This window comes from Homo sapiens, chromosome 17 (assembly GCF_000001405.40).
Source record: "Homo sapiens chromosome 17, GRCh38.p14 Primary Assembly".
NCBI lineage: Eukaryota > Metazoa > Chordata > Mammalia > Primates > Hominidae > Homo > Homo sapiens.
In genome coordinates, this window is record NC_000017.11 from 81,582,085 (window position 1) to 81,606,681 (window position 24,597).

General features: G+C 46.8%; 1 protein-coding gene across 9 annotated transcripts in view, besides 2 other annotated features; it reads right to left on the reverse strand.

Moving 5' to 3' along the window:
• Positions 1-24,597, reverse strand: part of NPLOC4 (NPL4 homolog, ubiquitin recognition factor) — an 80,228-nt gene that overhangs the window by 25,200 nt on the left and 30,431 nt on the right. For 4 of the 9 annotated variants that reach the window (XM_011524980.2, XM_047436368.1, NM_001369698.1 and 1 more), the window contains 5 exons: positions 22,464-22,643; positions 18,257-18,343; positions 15,161-15,232; positions 14,032-14,158; positions 6,860-7,035 (listed from right to left, as the gene is read on the reverse strand). In XM_011524980.2, coding sequence (XP_011523282.1) covers positions 6,860-7,035; positions 14,032-14,158; positions 15,161-15,232; positions 18,257-18,343; positions 22,464-22,643 — 642 coding nt within the window. The remainder of the gene's footprint in view (positions 1-6,859; positions 7,036-14,031; positions 14,159-15,160; positions 15,233-18,256; positions 18,344-22,463; positions 22,644-24,597) is intronic. The other 5 variants (NM_017921.4, NM_001438810.1, NM_001437986.1 and 2 more) reach the window with 2 other exon arrangements.
• Positions 16,335-16,454: an enhancer, noted in NCBI's record as "active region_12973". NCBI's record gives its function as "activates an Ori minimal core promoter by ATAC-STARR-seq in GM12878 lymphoblastoid cells {active_cell/tissue: GM12878}" and the evidence as "EXISTENCE:reporter gene assay evidence [ECO:0000049][PMID:35858748]".
• Positions 19,342-19,501: an enhancer, noted in NCBI's record as "active region_12974". NCBI's record gives its function as "activates an Ori minimal core promoter by ATAC-STARR-seq in GM12878 lymphoblastoid cells {active_cell/tissue: GM12878}" and the evidence as "EXISTENCE:reporter gene assay evidence [ECO:0000049][PMID:35858748]".

Here is a 24,597-nt window from a genome sequence, read left to right on the forward strand (position 1 = left end):
CACCAGAAAACATGGAGCATAGACAGAGCCAGTCGGAAGACTTACTTGGGGAACATTTCCAGAGAACTTATGATTCTAGGAGCCCAAGCTGAGGCCCAGCGGTTGTCCTGCAGGCTGCAGCAGCACAACCAGGAGGGCCGTGAGGTAAGCGAGCTGTGGCATGACGGGCATGAAAGGGCAAAGCTGAAGATGCCTGCACGTCACATCCGTACCAGGAGGTTTTCAGCTATGATGCCCGATGAGGGGCATGGACCCGAGTTTCACCTTCAGTGGGAAGCAGCTGAACACCTAAGCATCTAGCGGTGTTCTGTGTGTGTATGTATGTCTGCATGTTTTTGGAGGAGTCTTGTTCTGTCGCCCAGGCTGGAGTACAGTGGTACAATCATAGCTCACTGCAGCCGTGAACTCCTGGGCTAAAGAGATCCTTCTGACTCAGCCTCCTGAGTAGCTGGGACCACAGGCTCATGACACAGCACCCGACTAATTTTTTTTTGTTGTTGTAGAAATGAGGTCTTGCTATGTCACACAGACTGGCCTCGACTTCCTGAGCTCAAGCAATTCTCCCACCTTGGCCTTCCAAAGTGCTGGGATTACAAGTGTGAGCCACCACACCTAGTCTATTAGTATTCTTTTTAAAGGAAAAGACAGAAGACAGTCAAGCGCCTCCTGGCTGTACAACAGTCTACGAGTGTGAGTCTTGTCCCTGTGTGATGGGCAGGAGGTCCCAGCCTGCCCAAACAAAACCCCCACCAGCTGGGCTCTGGGGCTGCACATAAAGCTCCACAGCTGCAGGCTCTTGGGGCTGATGGGCAGTGAGCCACAGCCAGCCTCCCGATTCGAAGAAACACACAAAAACCCAAGGAGCCTCCCGGCCAGGGCCAGGCCTCCTCCCTGCGGCGCCGCCCCTGCGCACTCACAACTGAGCGCCCATGTGCGCCAGCACAGCAGCCACTGCCACGTGACGCAGAGTGTGTGTGACACACCCATGTGCATTCATGGCTGGAAAGTTATTTTAAACTCTTCTTCCTAATTATCAAGAGAGATGTTAGTGTGACTTTTCAGTGAGCGACTTGGAAATATCTATCAAAACTCGAAAAACCTTCCTCCCCAGCAATTCTATTTTGAAGATATACAAAGATGTCACAGGAGGATGTATAGGGTGTTAAATGTGGCACTTTCTGTAACAACCAGGAAGAACCAAAGGCCATCAACACAAGACCAATTAAATACATTCTGATTTGGCCATATAGTCAATAAATGCACTCATTTATTCTCCATAATTACAAGTCTTTGTTTTGAAGTTAAAAGAATAGAAAAGGAAACAAGAACTCTACCAGATGCAAAGAGTAGTTATCATTAAATATGTTTTCTTCATGTTTTTCTGCAGGGGACAAATGTTCCCTTTCACAAGAAAGGTGAAAGAGAAAAGCCCCACGTCCTGCCACCTGGCTGCCCCAGAGATGAGTGAGGCTGGCTGGCCCTAGTCCCTCGGGAAGCTCCTGGTCCTCACAGGACTATGTGTACACCCATATGCTTTCCTAAAAAACTACACGTGAACGATGACACAAATGTGCCTTCAAATCACTTCTCCAAGGCCAGCATCTGCACAGCTCCCCTCATCTGTCCACAAGGCTCTTCCTCGTTCTCTTACTGGCTGCATATGGGACAGGGCAAAGCTGTAGACTCTCCTCCCTCCTGAAGGACAGTCAGGAAGCTTCTACTCCCACCCCATGTGTGAGTGCATGTAAATGTATGTCCACATCCATGTGCAAATGCCTATACGTGTCTTCAAGAAAATAACAAAAAAAATTGGTATTATACTCTAGGTATAGATGCATTTTTAATTTTGCTTTCTAAGTTTTACCCCTTATCTTTAAATAATTTGCAAACACATACCTTTAGTAACCACATGCTATCCCAGAGTCCAGCTGTAACTTAATATGCCCTTGGGACAGGGCTTTTCAATTGTTTCCCATTTTTATTGCCAGAGACAACAACATGATAAACAGCAGCCTCAGACAAATATTGGTGCAGGTTTTGTTTACAAGGCATGTCACCTCCAACCGCAAAGTCCATGGGAGGACTAAAAGGATGACTTCAATGTTTGCTTTTACAGTTCTCTTTGCTCCAACTGATATTTTCCTGAAACATGAGAAATCTGTCTCAAATCCTACAGGGCTATAAACAATTCTGGGAAGTATTTCTAGCCTATTCTCGCTAACAGAGGGCAAATAAGCACTCTATGAAAACAACAGAATGATTAAGGAAATGTCACATATTTCATGACAAAAGGGAGCTCCATTCCTAAGTGCAAGAAACTTACAATAACGCATGGAAATAAAAAAGCCAATTTCCAATCTGAAAAGGGTATTTAAAAATAATCCTACAGCAAACTCACAGTTAATGATAAAATCCTAAAAGCACTTGCTTTACAATTAAAAGCAAGACAAAGGTGCCAGAGACTTCCACTGTCATGAGTGCTGTTTGGGAGATCCCAGGCAACACTGGGAAAAGCCCAGAGAATGAGAAGGGCTGATGATGGAAAGGATAATACGTGTAGGAAATGCGAAAGACTAAACTTATAAATAATAATACTGAGGAACAGATAGCAGTTGCTGGATACAAAAATTTACCTGTTTCAAACACCAACAGTTTAAAAATGTAATTTTAAGATAGTGCTATTTTGTAACAGGCTTAAAAAAAATTAAAGTACCTAGGAATAACCTAACAAATGATAGGTAAGACCTCCACAGAGAAAACTGAAAACCTTTCTAAGAGACATTAAAGAACATGGGAACGAGGCCCAGCACGGTGGCTCACGCCTATAATCCTAGCACTTTGGGAGGCCGAGGTGGGCAGATTGCCTGCTGAGCTCAGGAGTTCATGACCAGCCTGGGCAACATGGTGAAACCCTGTCTCTACTAAAATACAAAAAATCAGCCAGGCGTGGCAGCGTGCGCCTGTAGTCCTGGCTACTCGGGAGGCTGAGGCAGAAGAATTGCTTGAACCCGGGAGGCGGAGGTTGCAGTGATCTGAGATCGCACCACTACACTCCAGCCTGGGCGACAGAACGAGACTCTGTCGCCAAAAAAAAAAAAAAAAAAAAAAAAAGAGTATGGTATTAGTTCTGGTTTAGGAAAACTGGCCAATGGAATAGAACAGAGTCCAGTAACATCCATGATTCCTGGAGATGACCGACGACAGAGAAGCATCAAAGATTAAAAGGGAAACAAAAGTTTGCTTTTATTCCCAAAACTGTGCTCATATAGCTGATTATCCACATCGTTAAGAAATCAAGGCCGGGTGTGGTGGTTCACGCCTGTAATCCCAGCACTTAGGGAGGCCAAAGTGGGCAGATCACGAGGTCAGGAGTTTGAGACCATCCTGGCCAACATGGTGAAATCCAATCTCTACTAAAAATTTAAAAGTTAGCCAGGCGTGGTGGTGCACACCTGTAATCCCAGCTACTCGGGAGGCTGAGGCAGGAGAATCGCAGAACTCAGGTGGCAGAGGTTGCAGTGAGCCGAGATCAGGCCACTGCACTCCAGCCTGGGAGACAGAGGAAGACTCCATTTCTGGGGGGGGGGGGAAAGAAAGAAATCAGAGGCTGGGTGCAGTGGCTCACATCTGTAATCCCAGCATCTATAATCCCAGCACTGTGGGAGGCTGAGGCAGGCAGATTGCTTGAGCCTAGGAGTTCAAGACCAGCCTGGGCAACATGGTGAAATCCTGATTCTACTAAAAATACAAAAGAGTTAGGTGGGCATGGTAGTGTGCGCCTATAGTCCCAGCTACGCGGGAGGCTGAGGCAGGAGGATCACTTGAGCCCAGGAGGCAGAAGTTGCAACAAGCTGAGATCACGCCACTGCACTCCAGTCTGGGTGACAGAGCGAGATGCTGTTTCAAAAGAAAAATATAGGTCAGGCACAGTGTCTCATGCATGTAATCCCAGCACTCTGTGAGGCTGAGGTGGGTAGGTCACTTGAGATCAGGAGTTCGAGACCAGCCTGCCCAACGGGGTAGGAGGGAGGAAGGGGAGGCAGGGGCCTGAATCCAAACCAGATAAGAAGACCCCCAGCAAAGGGGACTGTGGCACTGAGATGGAAAGCCCCTTCCCTCCCCTCCTGCAGGAAGTGAGTGCTGGGAGATGAGGGTCTGGCAGAGACTCTGGAGACACAGGAATTTCAAACATGCAGCCATTCTCTCCCCTCAAGATGTTTGCAGCTGGGTGTGGTGTAATCCCAGCACTTTGGGTGGCCTCACGCCTATAATCCCAACACTTTGGGTAGCCAAGGTGGGCAAATCACTTGAGTCCAGGAGTTCAAGACCGGCCTGGCCAACATGGTAAAACACAGTCTCTACTAAAAACACAAAAAATTAGCCGGGCAGGTGGCACACATCTGTAGTCCCAACTACTCGGGAGGCTGAGGCACAAGAATCGCTTGAACTCAAGGGGCGGAGGCTGCAGTGGGCCGAGATCGCGCCACTGTACTCCAGCCTGGGTAACAGAGCAAAACTGTCTCAAAAAAAAAAAAAAAAGATGCTTGCAAAAGTTTTAAGGTACATGGGATACCTACATATTTAAGCTGTATGAGGCATGAGGAAAACAAGAAACTTCTGGACAGACTGTATCTCCCAGCCTTTCAGGGCCAATGAGACAAAGATTTAAGGAAGACTGTCACCTCACAAAGAGCTCTACCAGGCTCTCAGATGGCACCCCTAAGGGGTTACACTGTAGAAAAAGGGAAGGATCAACAATAGACGAAGTCTCATCAAAATGCAACTCGGCTCTGACCAGCTACTTGCCACCTGGATGGAGATGGACAGCTCACCACCACCACATTTCCCATGGAGGAAAGGAAAGCCCTCTCTGGAAGAAAACACCCTGCTGGAGTCTCTGGCTTGTGATACACAATGAGCAGCACACCACACACACTCAGCACGCCAGTAACAAGGACAGACAGACAGACGGTCCACGGAAAACACATTGCAGCTGCAGACCCACATATGCTAACCCATAATTAGAAAAAAAATCAATCAATTAAAACTGATGCAGAAATAAGCAGGTGATATGAGTTAGTATATAAGAACATTAAAAGTTAATATGGGTCGGGTGCAGTGGCTCACGCCTATAACCCCAACACTTTTGGAGGCTGAGGCGGGAGGACTGCTCGAGGCCAGGAGTTCAAGATCAACCTGGCCAACATAGTGACACCCTGTCTCTTTATTTTTTTATTTTTTATTTTTTTGAGACGGAGTCTTGCTCTGTCACCCAGGCTGGAGTGCAGTGGCACAATCTTGGCTCATTGCAAGCTCTGCCTCCCAGGTTTACACCATTCTCCTGCCTCAGCCTCCCGAGTAGCTGGAACTACAGGCGCCTGCCACCATGCCCGGCTAACTTTTTGTAGTTTTAGTAGAGACGGGGTTTCACCGTGTTAGCCAGGATGGTCTCGATCTCCTGACCTTGTGATCCGCCCGCCTCAGCCTCCGAAAGGGCTGGGATTACAGGCGTGAGCCACTGCGCCCAGCTGACACCCTGTCTCTTTAAAAAAAAAAAAAAAAAGGAAAAAAGAAACAAAGAAAAAAGTTGTTTTTTTTTTTTTTTTTGAGACAGAGTCTAGCTCTGTTCCCCAGGCTGGAGTGCAGTGGCACGATCTTAATGCAAGCTCCGCCTCCCAGGTTCACGCCATTCTCCTGCCTCAGCCTCCCGAGTAGCTGGGACTACAGGTGCCTGCTACCACGCCCGGCTTATTTTTTGTATTTTTTTTTTTTAGTAGAGACGGGGTTTCACCGTGTTAGCCAAGATGGTCTCAATCTCCTGACCTTGTGATCCGCCCATCTCGGCCTCCCAAAGTGCTGGGATTACAGGCATGAGCCGCCGCGCCCGGCCGAAAAAAGTTAATATAACTGTATCCCCTATGTTCAAAGAGTTAAGTAGAAACACAGGAAGCAATTAACAACTTAAACTTCTGGAATGAAAACTACAATGTCTGAGATGAACAATATGCTGGATGAGATTAACTGCAGATGAGACACTGTAGAAGTCCAGATCAACGAATGTGAAGACTAAAAGAAATTATCCAAAATGAAACACTGAAGAAGACTGAAATGAAATGAACAGAGTATCAGTAAACTGCGGGACAACTTCAGGCAGCCAAATACATGTGTAACTGGAGCCCCCAAAGGAGCGGGAAACACCAAAAAGAGAAAACATTGAGTAGCTGCAATTGGCAGGATTCTAAAAAAGGTCCCGAAACATCTCCCACGGTCTTCTCATCTCCACCCCTATCCTTGAGACAGGGTCTCGCTCTGTCACCCAGGCCTGTAGTGCAGTGGCACAATCATGGCTAACTGCAGCCTTGACCTCCCCAGACTCAGGTGATCCTCCTACCTCAGCCTCCTGAGTAGCTGGGACTACAGTTCATGCCACCACATCTACTTTTTGTAGAGACACAGTCTCGCTATGTTGCCCAGGCTGGTCTTGAAGTTCTGGACTCAAGCAATCCTCCTGCCTTGGCCTCCCAAAATGCTGGGATTACAGGCATGAGCCACCATGCCAAGGACCCATCTTCTCATCTTTAGAAACTGAGACTGTCTGTGTTGCAATGGTCGGATTTGGTGTTACTGATCTCAAAGCCAGTGCATGTAGCTCCACTTCTGGTGAGAAGCCCTACGCCATGGAAGCATGAGTAGCGAATATCCAGCCCCAGAAACGTGACAGAAGCCTTTAGTGACAAGCAGGGTTCAACCACAGCTGACAAACGGCTGCTATAGGCAGAATGCACCCAAATTAGAAAGGTCCAAGACAGGTTCACACCATTCTCCATGTACAGAGTTCTTTTTCTTACCATACTTTTACCTTATAAAACACATCAGGCACGTACTGCTCACTGCTAGACTCCTTGGCGTAGCCAAGCTCCGGGGCGTCCTTGCATGGCAGCAAACACTCATCACGGACCAGTGCCATACACTGATTGGACACCTGGTACCCTTCAAAGTGGACTTGGTTGTCAGGACCACCTGCAAGAGAGAGACCTTTAAAAAGAGTCTACCAAACGGCATTCAAAACCAGTCCATATCTGTTAACTCTTCACCTCTGATCAACAGAAAAAACAAACCCTCAAGAGTTTGTCGGGGGTAAGAGTTAAAAAATGTTCAGTAGTCGGCCGGGTGCGGTGGCTCATGCCTGTAATCCCAGCACTTTGGGAGGCTGAGACAGGCGGATCACGAGGTCAGGAGATCGAGACCATCCCGGATAACACGGTGAAACCCCGTCCCTACTAAAAATAAAAAAATTAGCTGGGTGCGGTGGCGGGCGCCTGTAGTCCCAGCTACTCAGGAGGCTGAGGCAGGAGAATGGCGTGAATGGCGTGAACCCGGGAGGTGGAGCTTGCAGTGAGCCGAGATTGTGCCGCTGCACTCCAGCCTGGGTGACAGACTCCATCTCAAAAAAAAAAAAAAAAATTCAGTAGTCAACGGATGGGTGGCCACAGCACAAGACCTAGCACAAGACCTAGCACAGTCAGGACACCCTGCAGCTCCGCACACACTTGGCTCCACAAACAGGTGCCACTAAGGACATGCTCTATGAGAATCTGGAAATCAAGACTGTTAAACTTTTGAAAAAAAGAAAAGAAAAGGCTCAGATTACGCCTGTAATCTGAGCACTCTGAGAGGGCAGGGCGGGAGGACTGCTTGAGCCCAGGAGTTTGAGACCAGTCTGGGCAACATAGTGAGACCCTATCTTTACAATAAATCAATCAATCAAAAAAAAAAAAAAAAGATTGTTAAACATTGTCTAGCATCTGCCCCTAAAACCAGGCTTAGTGTCATCAGCACTTGGGCTCCTGGTTCATAATAACACCAGGGGTGTAAACGGCAGATAGATCCCTAGGCTCACGGTAAGGATGGGAGGATAAATTCATCTGGAGGCAGAGAGATGGGGAAGCGGGTGGGAGAAGAGCAAGACGGAAACTATTTTTAATACAAATCCAGTCATGGTATTGTATACACAGCAGCCTCTGTCTTCCAGAAACCTACACGGCCGCCACACAGAGTTAATGCCACCAGGCGTCATCACACAGTGTGGAGGTGCAGGTGCCACTCCACGGCCGTGGGCAGACCTGGGAGCCCAGCTCCTCCATGGTTTCACCCTCCACACTGCCCACCCCATCCTTCTCTCCCAGTCTCCACTCCATCGAAGCCTCCAGAATGACTTCATGTGGGGACAGGAGAACTACAGATCATGGCTGAGAGGCGGCAGTGTGGTCCAGTTAGACCAGATCCCTGAAGTGAGCTGGGCAGATGATGCCATGGGGGCAGCCTGAGCCTTTGGAGGAGGCAGGCATGGGGGAGATGCCCACCGCTGCAGAAGTGTGCTTCCAGAACTGAAGTTATGTGCTGACTACAATCTCATTATTTTTTAGGTATTTATTTATTGTTTTAGAAGTAAGGTCTTACTATGTTACCCAGGCTGGTCTCTAACTCCTGGCCCCATGTGATCCTCCTGCCTCAGCTTCCCAAAGAGCTGGAATTACAGGTGTGAGCCACTGTGCCCAGCCCTCAACATTTGTTATAGTTTTGGATGAAAAAAAACCCTCAATACCTCTATTTCAGTTTCTTTGACAAAAAGAATCACTTATGATCAGAAAACAGAAACGTAGTGCACATGGCTGTCAAACATGCATCAGAAAGCAAACCTGACGGCCACACAATCAAAAAAGGTGAGGGAGGAGATAGAGCTGGCCGCCATGAAGCTCTCAACACACATAGGAGGCAAGTGATGGCTGGCTTCAAAACCCTGGGTCAAACTCGCTCCAAAGGCACAGTTCACCAGCATAGGATTTTCTCCCTGCCCCAAACTCAAATGCTCAGGAGGCAGCCAACCCTGCACAAATGACCACTAATATCTCAGCAAAGATACAGGCACCTCACTTGCCCATGTGCTTGGTGGCATAAATGACACTGAAAGAATGCAGGGCTCAGAGGGAGCAGAGGCAAAGGCTGGACAGAGCGCCGGGGAGCCACGGTGCAGACATCTGGTTAGGACACCATGAAAACCTGGACTGGGCTTGGCGCAGTGGTTCACGCCTGTAATTCCAGCACTTTGGGAGGCCGAGGCAGGCAGATCACCTGAGGTCAGGAGTTCAAGACCAGCCTGGAAAACATGGTGAAACCCTGTCTCTACTAAAAATATAAAAATTAACTGGGCATGGTGGCGTGCACCTGTAATCCCAGCTACTCAGGAGGCAGAGGCAGGAGAATCGCTTGACCCCAGGTAGCAGAGGCTGCGATGAGCTGAGATCATACCACTGCACTCCAGCCCGGGCAATGGAGCAAGACTCCATCTCTGGAGTAAAACAGAAAAAAAAAAAAAAAAAAAAAAAAACCTGCTCTGGTGTTTAGACTGGTCATTAACACGATAGGTCATTCAAGAAAGAAAAATCTAGCAGTTGAGAATAAGAGAAAAATGGAAAGCAGTTATTTATAAAACTGAAGGCTGTTTATAAACAGCAAAATTGGCCATATGGATAATCTTCAAGGGTAAATTCACTGAGATGAACTGCAAACTCCCCTTTCCACATGCAGCAGCAGGACATACATGTCCTGATGGGTTTGTGTAACCCTGCCGGAATGGCTGGCAGGACAAGTTAACTATCATTCCCTTCACAAATCAGTCAGTCAGGAAATCCCTACGTGGGAAGGATCACAGGGCCTACAAAGAGGCAGTGACAGCAAAACTTCAGCTGCTATTGAATCTGAATGCATTTCTGGTTTTTTAACCAGATCCCCAGCAAGTAATTTTAACAGCCCGTAAATGTAGAGTATGCTAGACTATGAGGACACAGATGCCCAGCCCAGTGTGTGGGGTAAGTTCTACACTGCACTGTCCTTCCACAGGGACCCTCAGGGTCACTCGAGCAAAGCGCACACTTCATTGGGGCTCTTATACTCTGAAGCCTCATGCCAGAGAATACCTGAGTACAACGAAAGGGGAAAGGGGAGGAAGGACAGATGCAGAGGGAGAGGCGAGGCCTCCGCATCCCAGCCAGGACCTGAGTGCTGTCGGCAGGGGCGCCCCGCACCCTATGCCACATGGCTCAGTCTGAACCTTCCTGTCTAAGGAGGGATGTGGGACGGGAATGCAACAAGTACAATTTCCAACAGCGCTATGGGGTCCCCGCATGGCCGTGACCAAGAAACCCTAACACAGGGGAAAGAGCACACTTTACTTGAGTTAGAAAACCTTCATCCGAGCTGTAGTGATTAAAAGCACGCATGAGGATAAGCACTCCTCAGTCGGCCACCACCCTCGGGAAAGGGAGACCATGGCAAGTCTGAGCACCAAGAGGGGTGATTCACACAGACACAAAGGGGCTGTCACTGCCTATCTGCTTATAAATTAGGTTATTTATTATCTCTCAGTTCTAAAACCTTTCAGTAAATACCAATTCCAGAGGTGAAAAAAGCCCAAGGATGATCTATATAATCTCTCAACTCTCAACAAGAGGTATGACTCAAATTCAAGGTGGTAGCCCCCAAGTTAGAAACTGTAATTCTAAAAATGTGCCAGTTCTTCTGGCCCATGGAATAATTTCTCCACAGACACAGTAATTAGACTGGGCACAGTGGCTCACACCTGTAATCCCAGGACTTTTTGAGGCCGAGACAGGCGGATCACTTGAGGCCAGAAGCTCGAGACCAGCCTGGCCAACATGGTGAAACCCCGTCTCTACAAAAAATACAAAAATTGGCCGGGTGTGTTGGCATGCGCCTGTAATCCCAGCTACTTGGGAGACTGAGGCACAAGAATCATTTGAACCCGGAGGCAGAAGTTGCAGTGAGCCAAGATTGTGCCATGGCACTCCAGCCTGGGTGACAGAACAAGACTGTCTCAAAAAAAATTAAAAATAAAAATAAAAGATCCTCGATTTCACTCAGAATAAAATAGTCATTAAAACCACACTGAAATACTGTGGAACTGTTCCATATCCCACAAGACTCTGAATGCCCGCTACACACTTGTGTAGGCAAAAACCACTACTTACAATGATATGAGATTAGAAGCAATTCTGTTTTATAAATAGCCACAAAACAGACAGGCACAGTTGTAATGCACACTGAATTCTCTGGGACTACAATAGTGTAAGCTGAGGCAAGGGCACACTCTTCTGCTTGGAACTGGGTGGGGAGCTGCTGAGCCTCTCAGGAAGCCATGTTGCTGACGGCAAGGCCAGCTGAGAGGCCTGGACCCAGCCCTGTGCTCAGCCCTTGCCCACACAGGCCAGTACGGATCCTGCTGTGCTGTCCTCACGAGTCAGTCCAGAAGCACTGACACACCTAAACGTATGACTTTATTCTGTTTCTTTCCTATCACTTTCCCCTGATGTTACAGTTAGGATACTACTCTGCCTTCCATTTCAGAATTCTGTGTGTCGGCAGCCTACATTAACTATGTTACCCATGAATTTTATTTCTGCATAGTAAAGGGGTATCACAAAGTGTTCTAAAAACAGGAGTTGAGTCTGATAGGCTTGGAAACTACCAGCCTACACTACTGTACCCAGATATCAGCCTACATGTGGCAGGGGTGTGGGGATGTGACACCGAGAAGAGTATGACGACACTTTTCTCCCCGTCTCTAAATACAACGCTGGCCAGGCAGAATTCTAAATGACATGAGCGCCTTTGTTCTCTGCTCCCCTCCTGGGTGCCCAGTGCCCACTGCCTGATGCCCCAGCTGCTCTCCAGCTACCCTGAGTCCCCCACGACAGCACCCTTCCCAGGGTGCCCTAACAGGTTCTGTAATGCAGAATTCCCAGACCCTCCTTCAATCCTAGCCCAAATTCCCAACCCTTCCCTTAAGCACTCAACCCAAGCAACAACTTAGGAAAATAAATCTGACTCGGCCGGGCGCAGTGGCTCACGCCTGTAATCCCAGCACCTTGGAAGGCCGAGGCGGGCGGATCACGAGGTCAGGAGATCGAGACCATCCTGGCTAACACGGTGAAACCCCGTCTCTACTAAAAATACAAAAAAAATTAGCCGGGCATGGTAGCGGGCACCTGTAGTCCCAGCTACTCGGGAGGCTGAGGCAGGAAAATGGCGTGAACCCGGGAGGTGGAGCTTGCAGTGAGCCAAGACAGCGCCACTGCAGTCCAGCCTGGGCGAAAGAGCGAGACTCCGTCTCAAAAAAAAAAAAAAAAAAAAAAAAAAAAAACTGACTCAACTAATTCACTTGTAAAATAGTTAACATGTATTAATTATTAACATAATTAACGTGTGAAAGATGCCTATCACCCTCAAAAAGTATATTCATTTCAAAAATCAATCTAAATGCACCTTAAATCAAGGAACTGCAGGCTGGGCAACACAGCAAGACTTCATTTCTACTAAAAATTTAAAAATTAGGCCAGGCGCAGTGGCTCACGCCTGTCATCCCAGCACTTGGGAGGCCGAGGTGGGCGGATCACGAGGTCAGGAGATCGAGACCATCCTGGCTAGCATGGTGAAACCCCATCTCTACTAAAAATACAAAAAATTAGCCGGGTATGCTGGCAGGCTCCTATAGTCCCAGCTACTCGGGAGGCTGAGGCAGGAGAATTGCGTGAACCCGGGAGGTGGAACCTGCAGGGAGCCGAGATCGCGCCACTGCACTCCAACCTGGGCGAGAGCGAGACTCCGTCTCTAGGGAAAAAAAAAAAATTAAAAATTAACTGGGCGTGGTGGCGCACGCGTGTAGTCCCAACTACATAGGAGGCTGTTGGGGTCGGATCACATGAGCCCAGGAGTCGCACCAGTGAGCTATGACTGCACCACTGTGCTCCAGCCTGGGTGACAGAGCAAGAACATGTCTCAAAACAAACGAACAAACAAAAAAAAAAACACAAAAACCCGGCAAACTCAAGAATATGCAGCAAAGTGCAAAAACTTCGCAGTCAGCTTGAACACTTTTCTTTCTTTTTTTCCAAATGTTTTATTTATTTATTTTTGTAGAGATGGGGACTTGCCATGTTGCCCAGGCTGGTCTCAAACTCCCAGTCTCAAGGGATCCTCCTGGCTCAACCTCCCAAAATGCTATGATTACAGATGTTGTAATCCCAGCACTTTGAGAGGCCAATGAGGGTGACTCACCTGAGGTCAGTTCAAGATTAGCCTGGCCAACAAGGCAAAACCCAGTCGCTACTAAAAATACAAAAATTAGCCAGGCGTGGTGGTGTGCACTTACAATTCCAGCTACTCTGAAGGCTGGGGCACAAAAATCGCTTGAACCCAGGAGGCGGACGTTGCAGTGAGCCGAGATTGCGCCACTGCACTCCAGCCTAAATGACAGTAAGACTGTCAAAAAAAAAAAAAAAACCCGTTTTGCTTTTTTTTTTTGAGATGGAGTTTCACTCTGTCGCCCAGGGGAACATCCTTGTCCATATATACATATACATATATATATATATTTTTTTTTTCTTTTCTTTTCTTTTTTTGAGACAGAGGCTCACCCTGTCACCCAGGCTGGAGTGCACTGGCACAAACTCAGCTCACTGCAACCTCCGCCTGATGGGTTCAAGTGATTCTCCTGCCTCAGCTCCTTGAGTAGCTGGGATTACAGGCGCCCACCACCATGCCCAGCTAATTTTTATATTTATAAAGAGATGGGGTTTCGCTATGTTGGCCAGGCTGATCTCGAACTCCTGACCTCAAGCGATCCACTCACCTGGGCCTCCCAAAGTGCTGGGATTACAGGCGTGAGCCACCACGCCCGGCCAAAAAAGTGGACTTTTAATGAGAGCACTGGCCTAGAGGAGAGCTCTGTGGAGGTCCTGATTCTGTTATGAGTTTTGGGGTTTGTGTTTATATAGTTTTATGCTGTTAAGTTGTTCAGAATTTTTACCATAAAAAGAAAGGAGGAATTTATATCCCACAAGCCCAGTAAGAAAGTCCAGTATAACTAAGTTAAGGATAAAAAGCTACCAAAAAGAGGAACAAAATATATTAACGAGGTGGTAATATTTACAGTACATACTGTCCCTGTTATACCTGTAGCCACTGCAGTAACAAACTTGGATCCAAAATGTCCGTCTGGAGAGAGCCGGCACATGTTGGGATGCTTGTTCTGGAAGTCTCCTGCAGTGATGCACTCTTCTGAACTTAGGAAATAGGTGTCCTAAGACAAGAGAAGCAGCCTATCAAATTTTACAGCATCATGCCAAAATATACTTCTATTTCTTCTTTAAAAAATAAGAACTAAGCCAGGAGCAGTGACTCACACCTCTAATTCCAGCACTTTGAGAGGTGGAGGCGGGAGGTCCACTTGAGGACAAGAGTTCGAGACCAGCCTGGCCAACACACCAAAACCTGGTCTCTACTAAAAATAAAAAAATTATCTGGGTATGGTGGTGCACACCTGAACCCAGGAGGAGGAAGCTGTAGTGAGCCGAGATTGTGCCATTGCACTCCAACCTGTGCAACACAGCAAGACTCTGTCTCAAAAAAATAAAAATAAAAAATAAGAACCAAACTATAAAACTCAAAACCACTTTGAAACAAGTATCTACAATTCCTAACCATTACCAATTCCTCATCTAAAACCACTCACGACTAGAAAGGCCAGAAGCACTATGCAAACCACCCCGCCATGGGCTGAGCCCTGAAAATCACTGCTTTATAAAGGTAAGATGGGTTTAGCTCTATGAGACCAAGAGATCCGGCCTTCATTGATCAAGAAGAACTTCTTGAAAAATAATGGGGCCTGAGGGCTGGGCATGGTGGCTCACACCTGTAATCCCAGCACTCTGGGAGGCCAAGGCAGGCAGATCACAAGGTCGAGATCAAGACCATCCTGGCTAACACAGTGAAACCCCATCTCTATTAAAAATACAAAAAAATTAGCTGGGCATGGTGGCAGGCGCCTGTAGTCCCAGCTTCTCCTGAGGCTGAGGCAGGAGAATGGCGTGAACCCGGGAGGCATTGCTAGCGGTGAGCAGAGATTGCGCCACTGCACTCCAGCCTGGGCAAAAGAGCAAGACTCCGTCTCAAAAAATACAAATAAATAAATAATGGGGCCTGAAAGCTAGAACCAGCGGTGCAAAGAGACCCTGATAATGCAGGCCAACACCATCTGTAACCAAGCCATAGGGCCACACGCACAGTCCTGTCTCCACCTCACCTTATTTCGACTGTAGCGGACGGTACCCTTTCGGGTATCTTCTGAGACGAGGTCTGTAAATATCCAGCCAACCTTAAAAAAAGGAAAGTAGCTTTTAAACATCTCCTCAAGATAGACGATGAATGGCTGGGCGCAGTGACTCACGCCTATAATCACAGCACTTTGAGAGGCCGAGGCAGGAGAATCACGAGGTTAAGAGATCGAGACCATCCTGGCCAATACAGTGAAACCCCATCTCTACTAAAAATACAGAAATTAGGCCGGGTGCGGTGGCTCACGCCTGTAATCCCAGCACTTTGGGAGGCCGAGGCGGGTGGATCACCCGAGGTCGGGAGTTCGAGACCAGCCTGACCAACATGGAGAAACCCTGTCTCTACTAAAAATACAAAATTAGTTGGGGTGGTGGCGCATGCCTGTAATCCCAGCTACTCAGGAGGCTGAGGCAGGAGAATCACTTGAACCCGGGAGGCAGAGGTTGCAGTGTGCCAGGATCGCGCCATTGCACTCCAGCCTGGGCAACAAGAATGAAACTCCATCTCAAAAAAAAAAAAAAAAAATTAGCTGGGCGTGGCCGGGTGTGGTGGCTCACGCCTGTAATTCCAACACTTCGGGAGGCCAAGACGGTGGATCACGAGGTCAGGAGATCAAGACCATCCTGGCTAACATGGTGAAATCCCGTCTCTACTAAAAATAGAAAAAAATTAGCCGGGCGTGGTGGCGGGTGCCTGTAGTCCCAGCTACTCAGGAGGCTGAGGCAGGAGAATGGTGTGAACCCGGGAGGTGAAGCTTGCAGTGAGCCGAGATTGCGTCACTGCACTCCAGCCTGGCCCACAGAGCAAGACTCTGTCTCAAAAAAAAAAAAAAAAAAAAAGATAGATGATGAATGTTTTCTGGCTTCTGCCCAGAGAGCTTAAAAAGAATGTTCTCAGTCAGAAACTCCTTTTTGTGAGCCAGGTGAATCTACATCAACAGGTTCCTCAAGTAAGATGCCAGGCCACACCCAGGGATCTCCATCTCTGTTCAGTAGAAACTGGCCACCCTCCCTCTGGTGCTGCTGGGTTAGAGATGAGTTTCCTCAGCACCAGCTCTGCCCAGCACCATGCTGGGTGCAAGAGACACAGCAGTGAGTGAGACCAACAGAAGGTGAGTGAAAAAGGCACTTAAACTCCCAAGAGGAAGACAGACAACAAGCAAGCAAATAAACATTTCAGAGAGTAGGTCTTTCCTGACAAGCTAAGAAAAAGGATTCCTAGAGAAAGGCACATAATACAAAAGGGGTAATATAATGCAGACTTCACACAGCTGCTCCTGGGAGCTCCACCTCAAGGCCGGAAGGAAGCATCTGAGGGTATGAGGATCTGAAACCTGTGACCCAGCAACCCCTGCACGTTCAGTGTAGCAGTGCCTGTGTGCTGTGTGATCCTTAGGCCCGCCTCTGCCTGTGAATTCCTGCACCAGAAGCCCGTCACGAGGCCACAGGAGCAGCAGTTGAGTCCCGGCAATTGTCACTTCTGTCCTCGGGAAGGATCTGCGGCCCATGACCCTCTCCAGCACTACCTGACACACAACTCTTCCCATCCACCCCCAGCAGACATGACTAGCCCACTGGGAGACTTTCACTGTCTTTAAAGATGCCCCAATGAATGAAAAACCCAAGGTGGTGGCAACAGAGAAAATGAAACTTAAAGGGTTAATTATGCAGTAAATAAAGCAAAATCAAAATCAAACTGAGAAAAATTAGGGCTTAGAAACTCATATTTTAGGCCAGGCACGGTGGCTCACGCCCATAATCCCAGAACTTTGGGAGACCAAGGCGGGTGGATCACCTGAGGTCGAGAGTTCAAGACCAGCCTGGCCAACATGGTGAAACATCGTCTCTATTAAAAATACAAAAATTAACTGGGCGTTGTGGCGGGTGCCTGTAATCCCAGCTACTTGGGAGGCTGAGGCAGGAGAATCACTTGAACCCGGGAGGCAGAGGTTGCAGTGAGCCAAGATCGTGCCACTGCACTCCAGCCTGGGTGAAAGAGCAAGACTCCTCAAAAAAAAAAAATAAAATAAAATAAAAAGAGAAACTTGTGTCTTGCAGAAAATTATTTAAGTAATTTCAAGATTATGAACTGTAAGATTATAACAAATTAGGTCAAAAAATTGGACCAATCTCTTTTAAACAAGAGAACTTCCAGAATTTGAACCCAAATATGCCCCTAAATCAAGATGCTGACTCCTTGTTAGAAACAGGATGTTTCTTTCCTAAAGACAGTAAAACTGTGTGGACTGCTCACTGACACTACTAGGTTTTAAGTCACATTTGCAGTCTCACCCGCTTCATCTGTAGAGAAGATTAAATAATCTAGAGATTATTTTTCATGGTCTGAGTTGATTAGGAAATAAAGGATAAAACATACTTATTAACATTAAACTCGTAAGATATGTTCAAATTCATGGCTCTACATTAATTTATTAAAATTGTTCCTGGGAACTGTATCAATGTCAGATAAACCAGATCAATAGAATAAAAAAGGAAATCCTTTTCTCATCTTCTAACTGTTCCATGAAACTAGGAAGAATTGTAGGCTCAGAGAGCTAAATTATAAACAGGAAATTAAATGATGATTGATGACGGAGCAGCAGAAGCTCCAAGTGCATGGCACAGAACATGAACACTGTCAATGGAATGTCAGCCTTGACTGTCCTCGGCTTCCAAGCTACATGAAGGGAGAGCTCAGGCAGAAGGGACACACATGCACAGAGGAGCCAGCAGGGGTGCGGCTGGGGTCTGTTTCCCACTTGAAGCAGTCCTCATGAAGTGTGGCTGGAAGGCTGAAATATAACAGCCAGATCTGCACTGGGATTTTTTTTTTTTTATGCTCAAGAAAATGTTCTCATTTTAGTTTAAGTCAGAGGAACATAAAGGTTATTGGTGCCCAACAAACATATGTGAAGTTTCAAAACATATAGTGCCTGCACCTGACCTTGTGCAGCCGGAGAGAGCCAGTACCCGACACAGCCCGGCCACTCTCCCAACTCCCCCTGGCCTGGATGCCCAACAGAGCCTGGCCACGCCCCCTGCTTGGCTGCCGGATGCCTCAGTACCTTCCGCAGGCCAAGTTTGGCAGCAATTTCATCGACCACTTCAGCTTTTGGATCCTCAAGAAGCTCCAAGCTGTTCTGTGTACCAATCTGCAGGGAATCAAAGGGAGAAGATGGACTTAGAGCAGAGGGCTCAGGAAGCAGCACCCCAAGCCCTTCCACTTCCAGCTCTAGGTCACAAGGAGTGCTGGGGGCCTCCTTGTCAGAAAGGAGAACTATAGCCACAGATAAAACACATGCGACACGCCTCCCGGCTTCTCTCCTTCTCGGGTTGTGCTGCACCTTTTACCAGGGCTGCAAAACATGTGGCATGCAGGGCCCAGCTGATGTGTGCTGCACAGCTCTGCATCAGGAGCACTCAGGACTAAGGCAAGGCAAGGTCTACACACTCTGCCTGTTTTAAAAGTTCCTTCATCAGGGAATTAAGTTACTTTCAAACTTCCTTGGATAAGTAGCTTCACTCCAAACAGGTTTGGCTAAATTAGGCAAGACTCAAACTGTAAGGTAACATCCATTCCCACAAAACAGCCTTGGAAAATCTGTGTGCCACTCCTGCAGAGACAATGCTTGGCTTCACAGCTAAGATACTCAGTTACAGGGACACTATGAACTCCACAGAGAGCGATGAGCTCACCAACCCTAAGGAAGGGAAAAGGTGTTCAAAAATCAACCACCTCCTTTCATCTGGCACAGGGCAGTCGATGAGTTGTAGCTTCGACTGGCTCCCATGCAACTGAAACCAACCACAGCACATCACTTCCCAGAGTGGACCAAGCTTACCGAAATCATTAATGTTCACTTAAATGTAGCTTGCGGGTCATTCAAAGGTATCATTCTATGCAGAAACCCCAGCCATAAGAATAGGAAAGGTAAAGGTAATCTCAAATTGAGTTACAGTAACTGGGCATATCCTTGTAAATTAGTGAAAATCTGGCAAACCACAAAGAAGTTTACGTTTGCTGGGTATTACCCATATGGAGGTCATTAATACCTCCAGAACGTAGGTTAAATCACAAACTCAGAGAAAAAGCTAAGGAAAAGGAGTTGTTTAATGACATGTGGCAGCATAAGCTGCATAAGCAAATTTTTGTGTGTGTATTTTTAGTAGAAACGGGGTTTTGCCATGTCAGCCAGGCTAGTCTTGAACTCCTGGCCTCAAGTGATCTGCCTTGCCCCTACAAAGTGCTGGGATTATAGATGTGAGCCACCACGGCTGGCCTCAATTATACTTTTAATAGAACCGTTGAGCTCTCCATGAAAGAGACCCTTTAAAAAAACTGAATCTGAATACTGTGTGCTTCGAAAAGCAGCATCCTGAGTACAGCACAGTGACCTAAGGGTTGAGACTTCACTGGCGGGGTCTCTACTGCCATCTAGTGTCTCTTTTTAAAAGAACCATGGCAAAGGCCTCATGAAACACTACATCTATTGCTATACAAAGATACCAAAAATGTCACTGAAAATCCGTATAAATACAGCCAAGAAAGACACACATTTGTGCAGGGGCCACTAGCAAGCCTGTACACCAGCTGTTACCCATGCATAGCCTGCAGTTTCAGACTCTGATCAGCAAACTCTGAAAGCAGCTGCAGGGCACCCCAGCCTGCCTCCCAGGCAGGTTATCTAAATAGGAGGCTAGCCATCCGGTGATCTCCACAAGACAGTGTTAGGTGGAAAAAGTGCACATATTATACGTACAAAGAAACAAAGAAGGGGGATAGTATGAATGTGCGTGCATGCATGCGTGTGTGTATGTGCTTACACTAAAAATGTCACATACAAAAAAAACAAAACTAGCCAGGCTCAGTGGCATACACCGATAGTCCCAGCTACTTGGGAGAAAGAGGTAAGAGGATCTCGCTCAGGAGCGAGACCTTGTTTCAAAACAAAACAAAACAAACAAACAAACAAACAAAAAACAAACTTTTGCCAAGCACAATGGCTTATGCTGGTAATTCTAGTACTTTAGGAGGCCAAGGCAGTAGGATCACTTGAGGCCAGGAGTTTGAGACCAGCGTGGGCCACACAGAGACCCTCCCTGTATAAAAAAAAAAATTAAACAATTAAACAATTAAAAAAAAATCAGGCCGGGCGCAGTGGCTCACGCCTATAATCCCAACACTTTGTGAGGCTGAGGCGGGTGGATCACGAGGTCAGGAGTTTGAGACCAGCCTGACCAACATGGTGAAACCCTGTCTCTACTAAAATTACAAAAATTAGCCAGGCGTGGTGGCGGCACCTGTAATCCCCGCTATTCAGGAGGCTGAGGCAGGAGAATCACTTGAACCCGGAAGGCGGAGGTTGAAGTGAGTGGAGATCATGCCACTGCACTCCAGCCTGGGTGACAGAGTAAAACTCCGTCTCAAAATTAAAAAAAAAAAAAAAAATCAAACTTCAGGAAGTCCAACTAAAAAGATTTAGGCTGAGCATGGTGGCTTATGCTTGTAATCCCAGAATTTTGGTAGGCTGAGGCGAGTGAACTGTGTGAGCCCAGGAGTTCCAGACAAGCCTGGGTAACATGGCGAGATCTGTCTCCACACACACTATATATGTATATACACATACATACATATATATGTATATATACACACACACATATATATATACACACACATATATATACACACATATATATACACAAATACACACACACACACACACACACACACACACACACATATAAAAGTCAGACATGGTGGTGCACGCCTGTAGTCCCAGACACTTGGGAGGCTGAGGCAGGAGGATTGCTTGAGCCCAAGAGGGCTGCAATTGAGGCTGCATTGAGCCATGATGGCAGTACTGCACTCCAGCCTGAGCAACAGAGTGAGACGCTGTCTCAAAAAGAAAAAGGTTTTAAATTCTAGGGGCTACCTATAAAGGAAAGCAGGGTAAAAGGAAATGAATATACCTTGTTTGTAAACATGACTTTGGAAATGTGCACTTTTTTTTTCTTTTCTAACTTTTAAAAATATTTCTGGCTGGGCACAGTGGCTCCTACCTGTAATCTCAACACTTCAGGAGGCCAAGATGTGAGGGTCACTTGAGGCCAGTAGTTCAAGACCAACCTGGGCAATATAGCGAGACCCTGACTCTACCAAAAATTTAAAAACTAGCTTGGCATGGTGGCATGCACCTGTAGTCCCAGCTACTCAGAAGGCTGAGGCAGGAGGATCGCTTGAGCCCAGGAGGTCAAGGATGCAGTAAGCTATGACTGCACAACTGCACTCCAGTCTGGGCAACAGAGCAAGACTCATCTCTAAAAAATAAATAAATAAAAATTAAAAATTTCTAACATACAGCTAATTTAAAGAATTTTACAGTGAATACTCATATACCCACCACTAGATTCACCATGAACATTTCCTATGCACTATCTGTCCCTCTAGTCACCCATCAATTCATTTTATTTTTCTATTGGATTTCAAGTGTATTACAGACATAAATGTACTTCTCCCTAAATAGTACAGCATGCATATCATTAACTAGCATTCAATATTTGCTTACTTTTTTACTTTTGCAATAAAATGTATGTAAAATACACTACATCATTATACATAATTACAAAACAAATTGAAATTTATATAAATATACACACACAGCCCAATTCCCAAAAACCAGAAATACAATGTGTAACTAGTTGGTGGCATAATCATACCGAGAGGGCCTTCCAATGACTTCCAAGCACAGTGACTAGATGTGCACACACCCTGCGGGATATACCCTCAGGACACTTCTTTCCCCTCCAAACAAATCTTAAATTGTTATCAGTCCTATTTTGGTGGCAGTTTTTGTTACTCTGGTGACACTCTGGTGATTGGTGCTGAGGTGTGTCTGTGGCCTTCTCCATGGTTCCTAAGACAGTGACTGCTGCATGGTGGAAGAGACACAGAATGACACAAGGACTGAGCACCTGGACACTACAGAGTCAATGAGCAAACCTGGACACAGCAGACGAGATAAAAACACTGGATCAATAGTGGCAAATGTACCGGTTGTGTAAGAAAATATCCTTATCCTTAGTAACATACACTGAAGGTTTTAGGAGCCATGATCTCACTCTCCAATAACTCAGAAAATGTTGTGCACGTGCACCGGTGTGTGACAAAGGGGGAACAAACAACAAAGCGAACAGGGCAAGGCCTCTCCGAAAGGGCGTCCCCCACAGCCTCCAAACACAGAAACTCAGGAACTTGAATCCCGTCATGTTTACCTGAGGTGGCTCATAAATCGCAGCCACTTCAGCCCTGATGCCAAGGGGAATGTCTTTGTGCTCCGTGTACCGTCCGTATAAGTACCCAAAATGCTGGTTCCCTGTCTTTCTCCAGAAGTCAAGAAAGCGGTCAGCGACGGTGTGATTCTCAAACATGATATTGTCCACATGCCTGTACTTCTGTAGAGTTAACAAGAGTGGGCTGATGAAAACATGCCATCAAAAAGAAATCACTTGTTTTTCTAACACAAACCATTCATAAATATCTTTTACCTAGTTCTTTAAAAAACAAACCAATAGGGTGTGATGGTGCATGCCTGTGGTCCCAGATACTCAGGAGGCCGAGGCTAGAGGATCGCTTAAGCCCAGGAGTTCAAGTCCAGCCTGGGTGACAGAGTGAGACCCCTTGTATCTTAAAAAATAAACATCTGGGCTGGGCGCAGTGGCTCACGCCTGTAATCCCAGCACTTTGGGAGGCCAAGGCGGGCGGATCATGAGGTCAGGAGATCAAGACCATCCTGACCAACATGATGAAATCCCGTCTCTATTTTTTTTGTATTTTATAAAAATACAAAAAATTAGCCAGAGCCAGGCGTGGTGGCGGGCGCCTGTAGTCTCAGTTACTCGGGAGGCTGAGGCAGGAGAATGGCGTGAACCCGGGAGGTGGAGCTCGCAGTGAGCTGAGATGGCGCCACTGCACTCCAGCCTGGGCGACAGAGCAAAACTCCATCTCAAAAAAAAAAAATAAATAATAATAATAATAATCTGCTATTCTATTTAAAAATAAAAACAATAAACATTACTTAAGAAAAAAACCAGTCAGGCACGGTGGCTCATGCCTGTAATCCCAGCACTATGGGAGGTGAGGCAGGCGGATCTCTTGAGTCCAGGAGTTAAACCTCAAAAATTATTCAATACAGTGAAACCCTGTCTCTACTAAAAATACAAAAATTAGCCAGGCATGGTGGCTCATGCCTGTAATCCCAGCTACTCCGGAGGCTGAGGCAATAGAATCACTTGCACCTGGGAGGCTGAGGTTGCAGTGAGCCAAGACTGCACCACTGCAATTCAGCCTGGGCTACGGAGTGAGACTCTGTCTCAAAAAAAAAAAAAAATGCTCTGCCCTTTAGACCACTTCAGAGTCCAGTGGCGGGACACGGGGTTATAGGAGGATGGAGATGGGTTTCATCTATCAATAAATTCAAAATAATTCCATTGTGATTTAACCTAAAATACAGGTTTTCACAATCTCTAGGGCAAAAAACAAACACATTTTCTTTTTTTTTTTTTTTGAGACGGAGTCTCGCTCTGTCACCCAGGCTGGAGTGCAGTGGCGTGATTTTGGCTCACTGCAACCTCTGCCTTCAGGTTCAAGTGATTCTCCTGCCTCAGCCTCCTGAGCAACTGGGACGACAGGCGCCCATCACTACGCCCAGCTAATTTTTTGTATTTTTAGTAGAGATGGGGTTTCACCATATTGGCCAGGCTGGTCTTGAACTCCTGACCTCAGGTGATCCGCCCACCTCAACCTCCCAAAGTGCTGGGATTACAGGTGTGAGCCACCTTGCCCGGCCAAAATAAAGTAGTTTTCAAGAAGAAAAAAGGAATAGAGAATAGGAGGTTTCCAAAAAAGTCGAGGAGGCCACGGAATTCTCTCTAAGGAGCCGTTTTCTCTAAGGGCACAGCGGCAGGAGGAAGGCGAGGCAGGCTACTCAGAGGCGGGACAAGGACAGCAGAACATCCAGAAAGGCCGGAACGCTCCCTCCTTCCTGAGCCACATTCTCTCCTTAAGCCAGCCTGGACAGGTGCTCAGAGCTGGTCCAAGGGGTGCCCCTTTACCAACCTTCAGAGCCAGTTTCCTCACAACCACTGAGGATTTTAAATAATCATCAGGAACATTCTGCCTCCATATGAGCCAGCAAAACAGAGAACTGAGGGCGCGCACTCCATATCTCCAAGAGCAAGAAGCCTTAAAAATGATATATTCAGTGTACCACTTCCACAAAAGGATCATTCAGTCCATCAAAAAGTACTGAAAATCCACCACGCATAGTGCTAATAGCATTCCACTCCAAGGGGCTCTTCTGGAAATATCCGTTTCTCAGCCATGAAAACAAATCTAGACAGACAGGGA